Source organism: Homo sapiens, chromosome 7 (assembly GCF_000001405.40).
Source record: "Homo sapiens chromosome 7, GRCh38.p14 Primary Assembly".
Lineage (NCBI taxonomy): Eukaryota > Metazoa > Chordata > Mammalia > Primates > Hominidae > Homo > Homo sapiens.
This window is the reverse complement of record NC_000007.14, coordinates 138870129-138884703: the sequence shown is the minus strand read 5'-3', so window position 1 is coordinate 138884703 and position 14575 is coordinate 138870129. Positions and strand designations below refer to the sequence as shown.

The 14575-nt window shown below is 44.2% G+C and overlaps 1 protein-coding gene and 1 pseudogene across 2 annotated transcripts in view, besides 1 other annotated feature; both read left to right on the top strand.

The window, feature by feature from the left end:
- Positions 1 to 14575, top strand: part of KIAA1549 — a 150009-nt gene that overhangs the window by 96686 nt on the left and 38748 nt on the right. For both annotated transcript variants that reach the window (NM_020910.3, NM_001164665.2), the window contains exons 11-13: positions 3120 to 3316; positions 5051 to 5166; positions 13342 to 13547. In NM_020910.3, coding sequence (NP_065961.2) covers positions 3120 to 3316; positions 5051 to 5166; positions 13342 to 13547 — 519 coding nt within the window. The remainder of the gene's footprint in view (positions 1 to 3119; positions 3317 to 5050; positions 5167 to 13341; positions 13548 to 14575) is intronic.
- Positions 2117 to 2196: an enhancer, noted in NCBI's record as "active region_26744". NCBI's record gives its function as "activates an Ori minimal core promoter by ATAC-STARR-seq in GM12878 lymphoblastoid cells {active_cell/tissue: GM12878}" and the evidence as "EXISTENCE:reporter gene assay evidence [ECO:0000049][PMID:35858748]".
- Positions 8239 to 8345, top strand: RNU6-1272P (RNA, U6 small nuclear 1272, pseudogene; annotated as a pseudogene).

The following is a 14575-nucleotide window of genomic DNA, read 5'->3' as shown; positions in this document are numbered from 1 at the left end:
AGGGGTCTGCTGTCTGCCATGTGATGCTATACCAGAGTCAGGTTAGAAAGTAAGCCACATTATACCGGGTTAATTAAACAAAAACAAAAACAATTTAACCAGATTTTATTGTTCGTAGGTGTGACTTAACACTCCTTTGCATGGCTTTAGGTCTTGTTTATAATTTGGTATCTTATTACCACAAAGAATCTGTTCTATCTGTCTTATAATCTCGGTTTTAATATTAATGCTGGTCAGTTTTGCCTAAACTCTACAAGGGAAGGGCTGTAATGATGCGTGTCCCACCTCCCTTCCTGCTACAGCCAAGAACTCGGTTTTTCAGGTTTCTCTGAAGTCCCTTTGGCCAAGAGGGGGCCTGTTCAGTAGGTTGGGGGCTTAGGATTTTGTTCTTAGTTTACAGATATTTCAAAGCGCAAGCGCACAAATGAAGAGATGCATAGGGTGAGGTGTGGGGGGAATCGGGGGTACAGAGCTTCTGTGCCCTCCGTGGGGGTGCTACCTTCCAGGAACCTCCACAGTGTTCAGCCTTCCAGAAGCTCCCTGGACCCTGCCCTTTTGCGTTTTTCAGGAGGCTGCTTTACATAGGCCTGTTTGGCTATGGTGATCAACTTAACCATTGGCTATTGGTGATCAACTTAACCTTCAGCCCCTCTTCCCTCCCTGAAGGTTGGGGGGTGGGGCTGAATGCCCTGACCCTTGTATCATGCCTGGGGCTCTGTGGTGAGCAGCCCCCATCCTGCAGCTACCTTGGGGCTGCTGGTCATCAGTCAACTCATTAGCCTGTAAAAAGACATCCTCAGGAGACTCCACGTATTTTAGGCGGTGTACACCAGGAAACTGGGATGAAGACCAGAGAAGTGTTTCAGAGTGTCACTGTGTGGATGTGGAATATGCCTGGGCAGGAGGGAAGGCTTCGGTTTGCTTTTGGCATTCCATGGAGGAGACCCCTTGGGACGACCATTGCTGTGCAGTTTATTTCCCTGTGCTTTGCAAGCTTGAATTAAGGAAACTGTTAATACCTTGACACTTTTCATGTCATCAGAAATACTGTTATTGTCCACATTTCTACATACCTTGGAGGGTCTTTCCAAGGGCACAGTGGCTCACACCTGTAATCCTAGCACTTTGGGCGGCCAAGGTGGGTGGATCACTGGAGACCAGGAGTTTGAGACCAGCCTGGGCAACATAGTGAGACCCCATCTCTACTAAAAATACCAAAAAAATTACCCCCGGCATGGTGGCGTGCACCCTTAATCTCAGCTACTTGGGAGGCTGAGGCAGGAGAATCACTTGAACCCGGGAGGCAGAGGTTGTGGTGAGCCGAGATTGTACCACTGCACTCCAGCCTGGGTGATGGAGCCAGACTGTCTTAAGAAAAAAAAAAAAAAAAGAAATGTGAACAATAACAAATGGCTTTTTTTTTTTTTTTTTGAGATGGAGTCTTACTCTTTCACCTGGGCTGGAGTGCAGTGGCGCGATCTCAGTTTACTGAAATCTCCAACTCCTAGGTTGAAGTGATTCTCCTGCCTCACCCTCCCGAGTAGCTGGGATTACAGGTGTGCACCACCATACCATGTCTGGCTGAATTTTTTTTTTTTTTTTTTTTTTTTTTTTAGGGGAGATGGGGTTTCACCATGTTGGCCAGGCTGGTCTCGAACTCCTGACCTCAGGTGATCTGCCCGATTCAGCCTCCCGAAATGCTGGGATTACAGATGTGAGCCACCGTGCCCAGCCAACAAATAGCATGTTTGATGACATAATATCTTACCACAGCTCTAGAAGCTGAGGCCTGGCATCCCTAGTTGCAGGCTCAGGGGTCTGTCATGGGTTTGGTGTGGGGTGATGCTTGTATCCCTGGAGAGGAATCCTGCATCCACTGGTTTGAGTGGGGCACGTTTTTGAAGAGCCCTTTCTCCTTCGGTTTTGTGCCCCATTACTTCTTTTGACTACTTCTTTCTAGAAATTCTTTGTTCCCTTTGCTTCTACTACATGGAACTTTCCAAATTCTTCTGTTTCTTTGAAATCACATTCTATTTTCTTCCTTGTTTCCTTTTTCTCTTCTTAGCCCCAAACTATTAGATGTTCTCCAACACTTTATCCACAGAATCTGTATTTATGTTGAAAAACTCAGCTCCCCTACCTGTCTCCTTTATGTGGGTGGTTCTTGAAGTCACATCTGAGCCTGCAAGTTCCCCCAGGCTATGGTTCCTCACCTCCAGCTACACCAAGCTGACATCCTTTGGGGCCTCAAATTAAGCGTGTTTGAAATGAAACCTGTCATTTTGTCTCGAGCCATCATTCCTATATGACTCGCCTCTTTCCCTTAACGTCACTTTCACTCTTCACGTGAAATTCACGTCCTCAATGGCTTCTTTCTCTTCCTTTGCCTCTCTTGTCTATTTGGCTTCTAGGTCTTTCTGCCTGATCCCTAGAGCTGTTCATTCCTTCCCATGTTCACTGCTAAGATTTGGGGCTCATGTCTTTGTGGTTTTATGCGCATGGCCAGGCTCTCCTCCTGCTTCCTTGGTGTCCTGTGTGCTTGTATTTTAGAAATCTGCCTGTTTAGAAATGTTTAGTGGTTTTCTGGTTTCCCAGAGGGCCAGCTCCAGAAGCTGGCGTTTTTGGAGTCATCCATATACGGACTGGACTTTTCTCTCGTGCTCCTATGCTCTGACCCATCTAGCATAGCCAATGTGATTTCTTCCCAGTCCTCAGTGTTCTCTGCTTCCTGATATGATCTAGAACATTCTCTTTGTAGCCTCCTCTTTCTGTTTCCAAGTCCTGTCTGTTCTCAAGGCCTGGCTTTGGTCCCCATTACCCTATAAAGAATATCTTGCTCCTGCCACATGGCACATGGTATGCTGCTGTGATAGCAGGTCAGGTGTTGTCCTAGGGTCTAGCTATTTAATCCGTGTACTCTTGTTTAATCTTTCACAAGTGCCTGTCTTCTCCTGGAACTCTGGGTATAAACAGAACCTGGCATGCAGTCCATGTTCTAGCGATGCTTGTTGGATTGGAGTTGTGGAATTGCCAGCACAGTCTTGGGTCAGAAGTTGTGCTCCTCTCATCAGCCTTGGATTCCGGGTTAACAATCTTGTTTGTGTGTGTGTATGTTTCAGCTGCAGATCCCTAGTGTGAAGGGCTTCGATTTTGCTAAGCAGCATCTGGGTCAGCACAATAAAGACGACATATTGATTATTCATGAGCCAGCGCCACTGCCAGGACCTCTGAAGGACCACACCACGCCCTCGGAAAATGGAGACGTGCCAAGCCCCAAGTCAAAGATCCCTTCCAAGAATGTTCGTCACAGAGGAAGGTTATTATTGGGCTTTCTGTATTATTCTTTGTTGCAGAGCATGCTTCTGTTATCAGGCTGTGAGTTTCTGATGTCACAGGGGCTGATGGTGAGCGCAGCCCTGCATGTGCAGCCCAGCAGACTGATGACTTGCCCAAAGTCACACAGGAGCCCAAGAGTGTTTCCGAGCCACTCTCACGGGCTGCCAAAGAAGGCTGTGTGATTTCTTTCCCCACACGGTTGAAGATCATGAATCACTATCTGTGATGGTTTAGGGGTCCCCATCAGACTTGATTAGAGATTGACCAGCTCATGTGTATATATCCTGAGGGGAGCATGCTAGGCCTCATGGAGATAATATCAGAAATAACATAGAAGGAGTGCACAGCACATGGTACACGCTCAGCCTGTGTGGACTGCTGTGTCCATGCCTGGGATGCCAGCAGCTGCTGTGACTTCATTGCTTTGCCTGCAGGTGACCTTCATCACATCCTCCTGCGTTTGCTTTGTTTTTCTCTGGCTGCTTATGTATGTCACCTTTGTCAGGATATCACACAAGACTCTTCACCGCCTCCTCCCTGCCTCGCTCCCCATTCCCCCTCTCAAAGTATAGCACATGGAGAATTGCCTATTAGTTTTCCAGGCTACCTGGAAGCCCCTTCTCACCCTCTGACCCTGTGAGAAGGGCTGTAGCTCTGTGAAAGAAGACAGAGTTCAGAATCGGGTTTATTAAGTTGACTTTCCATCATCGCACCGTCAGGCTTTGGCTACTGAAGCCTCCTGTTGTCAGCCTTTCTTTGAGCTTTGGAACGCCAAATCCTGATTTCCTGCTAAGAGCAAAAAAAAGTGTGTGATCATATCAACATTTGAAACGATGTCATGACTTCTGTCTTATCAGGAAACCTACCCCAGGGGTTCTGGCCTAGTTATAAGAGTGTAATAGATGTCAGAACATGATCTTTACAAAAGAAAATGAGTTATGTAGAGAGATGCTATTTGATTAATTATTTTGCAGGCTAAGAATAAATGGAATCATTGAAGATTATTTAATATGCAAGTAAAATTTTGCAAAGTATTTTTTTTTTCTTGCCTGGTAGCCTTGTCATTGACATTTAGTCATGATAGCTCAATGGTCTGCATGGTTAATACAATGTTTTAGCATCTTTCTGGGCACCAGAATGTCTTGGCATTCCACATTGTCATTGAAGCCAGGGAGCCAACTGATGAAGGAATTTTCCCTGGTGCAAGCTGGGTGCCACAGTACTCTTGCTTTTTATATAAAGAATCAGATCTCAGTGTAAGCACCTTCCAAAGATCTGGAGTTATTTGGGGTGACTGCATAGCTACTCTAGCATCCTGAGGATTCTGCAGACCTAGTTAATCGTGAACCCCAGGTCCTGTTTGATCCAACTCATGCTAAACCCAGACTGCTGGTCCAGAAAAGACTAGGGGCCAGGGGCTGGGCCTTGAGCCCTGGTAACTGTGGGACCTTCCTCCTATCTGGCACTTAATTGTCTAGCATTTGTTGAAATGCAGCCTGCTGAGCCATTTAGTAAGCCGTGTTAATCTGTCTTCAGGAGGTGACTGTGGTGTTAATGTGATCCTTGAAGACGCTGTGCTATGGAATAATTTTTTGGACCGTTTCATTTCTGCTGGTTTTGCCTGGAAGCCTGACTTCCACACACAAATTAATGGGACTTTTTCCTTTTCATTCTTTCTTGTTTCTAATGTTTGCAATTCATTTTGTGTCTGCAGAGTTTCTCCCTCAGATGCTGACTCTACGGTCAGTGAAGAGTCCAGCGAGAGGGACGCAGGAGATAAGACGCCGGGAGCCGTCAACGATGGCAGGTCCCACAGAGCTCCGCAGAGCGGTCTGTGACTCTTCTGGTTCTTCCCATTAAAAGTAGTCCCTATGAGAGTCCAAAGGCTGGGGCCTTACAGTATTTCAAATGCTAAACCCTTAAAAAAGAAATCTGGGAAATGGAAAATTCATCATTCCTGTGGTTTCTTAGCACCAGTTGTCACCATCTAACGTGGTATTGGTGTCTGCTTTGGGGCCAGGGATTCACTGGGGTACGTCTTAAGGTTAATAGCCTCGCTTCACTCTAGTTAAGAGTCCTCACGATTTGCCTGCCCAGAGGTCAAGGAGGAAGCACACTGAAACCAGAGTCTCAAAAACTGCCCCCAGGATTCAATAGCTTTCTTAGGAACCAATTCCAGGATTCACAACTGTCAGTCAGAAAGTTGTTTGTTTATCATAGGCCCAAGTCAATTATGTTAAGTTCTGTTCCTAGATCTTTCTTCCACCAGGTGGTTTAGTGTGATCAGATGGTTTAGCATGTTTACTTTGGGAGTCACAGACAGCTTCACAGGCCAGGTATAAAATGAACTTCACTCCTGTTCTAAAGGGTATGACTGTTAAGGCTGATGCACTGTAATAAAGTGAGACCCACAAGTCTTTAGACTTGGGAGCATTTTTTTGGAGTGATAGCAAGGTAGCTTGTTTTTAGTGTAACAGGTTGTATTAAATAGATGTGCTACTGCAGCTGTTGTATTTGCTGGAGGTTTATTTTTATTTAAGGATTGAATTTCAGTAATGCAAAGATCATTGGGAGGCCTCAGAATATTATTATTACTATTTTTTTTTGAGACAGGGTCTTGCTCTATCACTGAGGCTGGAGTGCAGTGGCACAGTCCCGGCTCACTGCAGCCTCGACCTCTCAGGCTCAGGCGATCCTCCCACCTCAGTCTCCTTAGTAGCTGGGATTACAGGCCTCTGCCATCACACCTGGCTAATTTTTGTATATTCTTGTAGAGACAAGGTTTCACCGTGTTGCTCAGGCTGGTCTTGAACTCCTTGACTCAAGCGATCCATCCGCCTCGCCTTCCCAAAGTGCTGGGATTATAGGCATGAGCCACCACGCCCGGCCAGGATATTATTTTTAATAGGAATTTTTATACTTACAGTTTTTAATCATAAATTTCTCTGTATGGAAATGCAGTGCAGAGTGAACTGTATTCTAGAAATGAACAGACTGGACAGAAGCCCAGGGGCCTCTCCTCTCACTGACACGCTTGTGGCCTCGCGGGTGGCTCAGCCTTTGAGGCTCCTGTGGGGCTGCCCTAGCCTGTCCTTGTCTCCTCTCACTGACACGCTTGTGGCCTCGCGGGTTGCTCAGCCTTCAAGGCTCCTGTGGGGCTGCACTAGCTGGTCCTTGAAGTTCCTTCCAGCTCCTTCCACTTGGTTCTTTTGTAATGTTAAGGACATCCCCTTAGAAAAAGGGAAGAGTTTTTTCTTTGGATGTGGTTTTTCAAAATCTTAAAAATTATTTAGCACCATGGTAACCGATACTGTTTCAGATAGACAGGATTAGAATCTCGTTTTGATCCTTGGAAAGAAATATTTGGGGGGGCGTGGAAAGAGCTCTGGATTTTTCCAAGTTCTGTTCATTGCTTATCTGAGAAAACCTTACTTTCAGTGCCTGCATTTAATGCCTTCTGATGGTATTACAGCCAGTATATTCTATAAGAATAACAAAAATCAAACACCACTCTCAACATAGGCTCAGAATCCAGGTAGTAAGCATCACAGCTCTGGGACCGAGAGCTTGAATGTGAAGGAAAGAAGCGAATTAGATGATTTTGTGAATATTAGAAGCTCAGATGCTGCTGTTACAATTTGAAGAGATAGCAGAATCTGTACATTATTTTCATGTTGTAGAAAGATAGTTTTCTCACTATAAATATCAATTTACTTTTAGAACTTTACTTCTTGAAAGGTGCCATTAGATAGCTTTAATGCTGCTGTGTAGGTATTTTATTGCTTGCATAGAAAATTAAATATCCTATTTTAAAATATTCTGAGTTTTTCTCCTAGCTTTCAGTTATTTTATTTTTTAAAATTTTTTGCTTTTTGAGACAGAGTCTCTTCCTGTTGCCTAGGCTGTAGGGCAGTGGTGCTATCTTGGCTCACTGCAACCTCTGCCTCCCAGGCTCAAACGATTCTCATGACTCAGCCTCCCGAGTAGCTGGGATTACAGACGTATACCACCACACCTGGCCAATTTTTGTATTTTTAGTAGAAATGGGGTTTTGCCATGTTGGCCAGGCTGGTCTTGAACTCCTGGCCTTATGTGATCTGCCCACCTCGGCCTCCCAAAGTGCTGGGATTACAGGCGTGAGCCACCATGTTCGGCCTGTTTTATAATTCACATAAAAATATTTCTTTTGTTGAAAGTCGTAATGAAGTAAAAATTAATGGAGGTGGGGAGCGGGGAGGGAGGCTGCTTGAGATCCATTATGGAGCCCTCTTCCATGTTGCCATGGGACCAGCGTTCCCTCTCACTCCTGCGGGTGGTACAGCTACCGGCTCTCTTTAGGCTTCTTGGCAAGGCTGTTGACGACTGTCCCAGGTCATGTGGCATATTAAGGACCCACCTTGCAATGGAAGCTGAGAGAACACTGTTGTTTCAGTTTTGGTAAATTGGAGGTTGTGCTTTATTCCTTTTCCAGCTGACTGTTTTTGGAAGGTGACTAGGCCCTGACACATACCCTCATGGCCATCCATGAACCCTTAAGAGATTATTTACTCAGATGTCACTGTGTTCCCAGCTATTCTAGCTTTAAAATAACTCAAATCATAACCACTGGATCCCCTTAGTGAAGATGTGAAGGGAGAGATGAGGCAGGAGATGGGCTGCCATTGCTGCGTCTGTGCATAATTGTAGTTTTTCTCTCGCTCCCCTTTATCATCAGGAATATACCAAGTAGGTAAGGATTGCAAAATACTCAGCATTCTTTTATGCTCTCCTTAGATTGCATGTGTGCAAGTGTGTGATTTTTAAGTAGTTAAAACTTCATTTGAATTCCACAAATTCCAAATTCTAGAATTTCATGTGCAAACCAAGCTGACACTGACTTTTGCATGTGCTAAGGAGCTTGCAGTGCTCGCTTCAGCAGCATATAGACTAAAATTGAAAGGCAACAAAGAAGATGAGCGTGGCCCCTGTGCAAGGATGACATGCATATTGGGGAAGCATTCCATATTTTAAAAAAATTAAAAGAGTTTGCAAAATAGTTTAAATGAGATTGAGTACATATAACAATGAAGTTTTTCAAGTAATTTTGGAGTACTGTACCATTTATAAAATGATTGAGATCATAAAGTAGAATTCTTATCTTTTCATGAAGGCAGATTCCTAGAGACCTTTTCAAGGTAAAATTTTATAAACATAGTGGAGATGACTGTAGTCATTGAGTCATCCGTTTAGCAAATGCTTGCTAAGTGCCTGTGGTCAGGTGCTGGTGATATACAATGAAGATGAGATAAATGTGATTGCTGTCTCACAGGATGTTAACGTGGGTTGCGCACATTAGTAAAGATGTGGTTTTCCAGCCTGGGCTACGTAGCGAGACTCTGACTCTACAAAAAAAAAAACAGAAAAAATTAGCCAGGCCTGGTGGTGTGTGCCTGTGGTCCCAGCTACTGAAGAGGCTGAGGTGGGAGGATCGCTTGAGCCTGGGAGGTCGAGGCTGCAGTGATCTGTGATTGCATCACCACACTCCAGTCTGGGTGACAGAGCGAGACCCTGTCTCGGGGGACAAAAAAAGTGGTTTGACTGTGTTTACTTGTAGATAATGAAATAATATTTCTTTAAAAATGCTCTCTTGCTTTGTCATTTTAGTAATTCAGGCTGAACTATTCTCTTTCATTCTGCTTTGTTGACATTATCCTGTTCTATACAATCCCATATGCTGTAATTTTTTATTTTTTATTTTTTTGCTTACCCAGTCTCGAGTGCAGTGGCACAATCACAGCTCACTGCAGCCTTGACCTCCTGGGCTCAAGCAGTCCTCTCACCTCAGCCTCCTGAGTAGCTGGGACTACAGGAGCATACCACGCCCAGCTAACTTTTTATTTACTTTTTGTAGAGACGAGGTCTTGCCATGTTGCCCAGGCTGGTTTTGAACTCCTGGGCTCAAGCGATCCTCCTGCCTTAGCCTTCCAAAGTGCTGGGATTATAGGCATGAGCCACTATGCCCAGCGTTTTTCTTTCTTTTTAAGATTTTTATTTGTATTTTAACTGATGGTAAGAAAACATATAAATTTATGGTGTACAACATGATGTGTTTTTTGCTTTTATTATTTTTAGTTGATACATAATACTTGCAAATATTTATGGGGGACATTGTGATATTTCCATGTATGAATATACTGTGTGATGATCAAATCAGGGTAATTAGCATATCTGTCACCACAGACAAAGTTATCATTACTTTGCCTTGGGAACATTCAAAATATGCTCTTCAAGCTAATTGAAAATATGCAATAAATTATTAGAGTTACCCTACAGTGCCTACAGGTGCTCAACCCATTCCTCCTCTCTAGCTGTGCACTTTTATTTTTATTTTTTTGAGACACGGTCTCACTCTGTTGCCCAGGCTGGGGTGCAGTGGTGCAGTCATGGCTCACTGCAGCCTTGACCTTCCAGGCACAGGTGATCATCTCTTCTCAGCCTCCCGAGTAGCTGGGCCTACAGGTGTACACCACCACGCCGGGTTATTTTTTGTAGAGATGGGGTTACGCCATGTTGCCTAGGCTGGTCTAGAACTCCTGGGCTCAAGTTACCCTCCCGCCTCAGCCTATCAAAGTGCTGGGATTACAGGCGAGAGCCACCATGTCCAGCCTCTAGTTGTGCTTTTGTATCTGTTAACCAGCTTTTGTCTATGTCCCTCCTCTTCCCTTCCCAGCCTCAAGTAACCTCTAGTCTACTCTCCACTTCTAGATCAACTTTCCAGCTTCCACATATGAGTGAGAACAGTGCAGTGTTTATCCTTCTGTGCCTGGCCTATTTTACTTAATGTCATCCAAGCTCAGCCATATTGCTGCAAATGGCAGGATTTCCTTCTTTCTTGTGGCTAAATGATGATGTTTTGATATGTGTATGCATTGTGAAATGGCTAAATCAAGCTATTTAACATATACATTACCTCACATACTTATTTTTTGTGATAACACTTAAAATCTACTCTCTTACCTGTTTTCAAGTATACAATATATTGTTATTGATTATAGTTACCATGAGGTACAATAGGTATCTTGACTCTATAGTAAAATTTATATCATTACTTTTAAAAAATAATTGAAGAGAAAGGGGTTTTAATCCCAAGTTCCTACTAGCCTTAAGGCAGGATTCACACAGCATTAATCTCTGTGTGTCCATTGTGCTTTGTACTAATCATTATTACCCAGGGAGCTTTTTTAGAAAAATTGTGCAATGCATAGCAAACAATAATATATATTATATAATTATATTTATTAATATATGATATAGAAGTATGTAATATATAATTACTAATAGTAATATATTACTAATTACTAATTATATATTACATATACAGTTCTATAAACAAAAATATATACTAATATATAATATGTGTGATATAATTATATAATATATATGTGTGATATATATTATATGTATATGTAAAAAAATTTAAAGCCCCTCTTTTCAGCCATGTTGAAGGACTGGCTTCTGGGCAGTATGGAAGCTGGAAGATTTTCTGCACCTCTTATTTCCTCTCCTCCGCTTGGTCCCTCAGCTCTGTAGAGTGGCCCAGGGTTTGTGCATCCCCTCCTCTGGTTGCAGTCTGTGAACAGTTCAGCGAGGGTGAAGCAAGGGCCGTGACTACAGTGGGAGGGGGTGAGCCGGGCTCTGGACAGGAGCCCAGTCTTAGGCTGCTGCTCCAGTGGTACCCAGGCAGGGCTGACAGCCCAGTAGGGAGGGGCCTTTTTTTTTTTTTTTTTTTAATGCCTGTCACCTTTGTCTCCCAGCAACCCAGAAGTCTCTGCCACCCTGGAGGAAAGTGATCCCACTTCTAGGTATCAGTAGCTTAATGGGCTACCCTCTGTGACATTTATTGTTACTCTATAAGTCTGGGTTAAGCAGGGCTAGCCTGTCTGGAGAAGCTCATGATCTCCTTTTAGGCATTATGCCTGCAACTTGAGTAGCTGCCACCGATGAATGGTGGTGCCTGGCTGTGCTTCCATTGCACAAATGCACAAATAGTCAGGTTCCTTCTAGGTATGGGGCCAAGAAAGAAAGCTTGAGCATAGCTGGAGTCCAGACAATGGTGTCCTCTGGCTCAGACAGACATCATTCATTCAGAATCAGCCAAATGACTTCTGATTGCTTGGGATAATGAATGTAATTCAAATTGAGAGAAAATACAGATTTACATAGCAATGCTGTGCTTTCCTTATATGAAACATCAACTACTGCTTCTTACTGCTTTGCTCATCTATGTTTTTTACACCGAGGAGAGACCTTTGTGTTTTTCACTTATGCTTTGAAGTTTCAAATGTTAGGCTTTTGTTTAGAAGCACTTTCTGCATGTGCGTATTCCCTCTGTCAGCCTGCTGGCCATTTATTTGAAAGCAACATCCAGAAGTGACTGGCTGATTAGAAGAAGGGCATCAGTTGATCTTTTTTTGGCGGGGGTTGGGGGACAGGGTCTCACTCTGTCACCCAGGCTGGAATGTAGAGACATGATCTCGGCTCACTGCACCCTCTACCTCCTGGGCTTAAGGGATCCTCCCACCTCAGCCTTCTGAGTGACTAGGACTACAGGCATGTGCCACCACGCCCAACTAATTAAAAAAAATTGTAGAGACAAGGTCTTAACTATGTTGCCCAGGCTGGTCTCAAACTCCTGGGCTCAAGCAATCCTCTTGCCTCAGCCTCTCAAAGTGCTGGGATGACAGGCATGAGCCATTGTGCCTGGCCAGTTGATCTTCTTAAGTGTGAGTAACTAGCTCTTTCTACTCAGCCCGTCTTCATTTTTCTCTTTCTCTTTTTTCAAAATTAAAGTGTATTGGGATTATCTCTACTGTAAAAATAATACTTATTACAGAAAATCCTCATTATCAAAAATAAAAGACATGGGGAAAAATCACCCATCATGTGAAGATTCAGTCTCTGTTAATATTTTTAAGTGTTTCTTTTCTGTCTTTTTTTTTGTGCATTTGAATTTCTTTTTTTTTTTTTTCACAGTTCTGATTAGTTTTTAAGAAAATTATTGTGGTTGAATATACATGGCCTAAAATTTGCCATGTAACCATTTATACATGTACTCTTCAACTGTTTTTAAAGTAGGAACTAGCGCCGGGCCCGGTGGCTCCTGCCTGTAATCCCAGCACTTTGGGAGGCCGAGGCAGGTGGATCACTTGAGGTCAGGAGTTCAAGACCAACTTGGACAATATCGTGAAACCTTGTCTCTACTAAAAGTATTAATACAAAAGTTAGCTAGGCATGGTGGCATGCTCCTGTAATTCCAGCTACTCAGGAGGCTGAGGCAGGAGAATCACTATCCAGCCTAGGCGAGAGAGTGAGACTCCGTCTCAAAAAAATAAAAAATAAATTAAAAAAATAAATAAAGTAGGAACTAATTCCCTGCAAGCAACAGGTTTTTTCTTCTCATGTGTCTTCAACTTCGTTTTCTTTCCACATCAGAACTGAAAAGTCAGAAGTGTGGTCACTGTTAACTGGTACCTGCCTGCACGTACTGGTCTTCTGTTTTCTCTGTAGTACGACATTGCCTTGGCAGCTGAATTTGTATCACTCCAGCGAGCTCCCTGCCAGATGGTAGCAATAGTTCAGAGCCGCTATAAATGTGTTTTCTGAGAGTTCTGTGAATGGCTTATTGACTACTGAGCAACTTCAGGCTCCTTCTGTCCTATATTCTTTCTGAATGAAGATTTTGAACCACAGACAAAACAGTGCAGTTTTTCACACAGTATCATAATGATTTCCTCACGTCTCTTCTTAGGGTACTTGTAATTTTTAATGAAGTTAGAGGATACAGTATATAGCCCAGACTATTTAAGCTCAGAGAGTGAAATTGTAAACACTCTGCTACTGCAGTGGGGATGTATTTTTGGTCAGAGGCCCATCCAAAGATTCTTTAAAGAATAATTCACAATTTTGATTAGTTGCTGTTTCTTTAGATGACTTCGTGTATGTGTTTTGCTTTTCCTTCTGTTCCAGGGCCACCACTGCCCAGTTCGGGAAATGAGCAGCACTCATCAGCCTCCATCTTCGAGCACGTGGACAGGATCTCCCGCCCCCCGGAGGCTAGCCGGCGGGTCCCCAGTAAGATCCAGCTTATCGCCATGCAGCCGATCCCGGCACCTCCCGTCCAGCGCCCCTCCCCAGCCGACCGAGTGGCGGAAAGCAATAAAATCAACAAAGAGGTATTTGCTTTTATTTAAAAGTCTGTTACTTAAAAAACTCGGCTAAGCCCGGTGGCTTATGCCTGTAATCCCAGCACTTGGGGGGGCCAAGGCAGGCAGATCGCCTGAGGTCGGGAGTTTGAGACCAGCCTGGCCAACATGGTGAAACGCCATCTCTACTAAAAATACAAAATTAGCTGGGCGTGGTGGCGGGTTCCTGTAATCCCAGCTGCTCAGGAGGCTGAGGCAGGAGAATCACTTGAACCCGGGAGGGGGAGTTTGCACTGAGCCGGGATCTCGCCACTGCACTCCAGCCTGGTTGACAGAGTGAGACTCCATCTCAAAACAAAAACAAAAACAAAAAAAACTCACACACTTATTGGGTCTGTGTTTGAAAATGAGTGCAAGGTACAGTGTCAACTAGTTACTGAAGGCATAAGCTGCTGACAAGGATTCTTAATGTAAAACATCACGCTTGTTGGAGATCAGATACTGTGCATGGACACTCTGGGGCGCATTGGCAGACATGCAGAAAAGTGTTAGTGCGGCCGACCAGGGGCTGCCCTCCTCAGAAAGAGCCACTTCAGCTTCTGATCCTCCTCACGCTTCAACGCAGTTCAGGTTTCCGTCTTTGGGGATACCACTCTGGGGGCAGGGGGTCTCATGTCAGGTAACTTGTTTTGGTGACACTAGGTAATTATCCTCTTTATATCTGTCAGTCCTATTTATTAAAGATCTCTAAAGGAGGAAAATATTCTTTTCTGGTTATCAGATGTCTCTTTAAAGTTGTCATTGGCCGATTTCCAAGGTTCGAGTGACTTTTTTTCCCTGCTTTGGGGGATGGTGACAAGACTCCAGTGCACCACACAGTGCTTGAGGGTAAAGCTCGTGGGATGGCAGGGTCTCTGCTCCTCCCTGGTCTGTGCCTGTCGCTCTCTCGGTGACTCCGTGGAGCTTACAGACAGCAAGTTAAGTGTGGGCCAGAGGAGAGGAGCATAGCAGGAAGGCGCTCCTAGAAGGCTTTGCTGGCTGGGCATGGTGGCTCACAC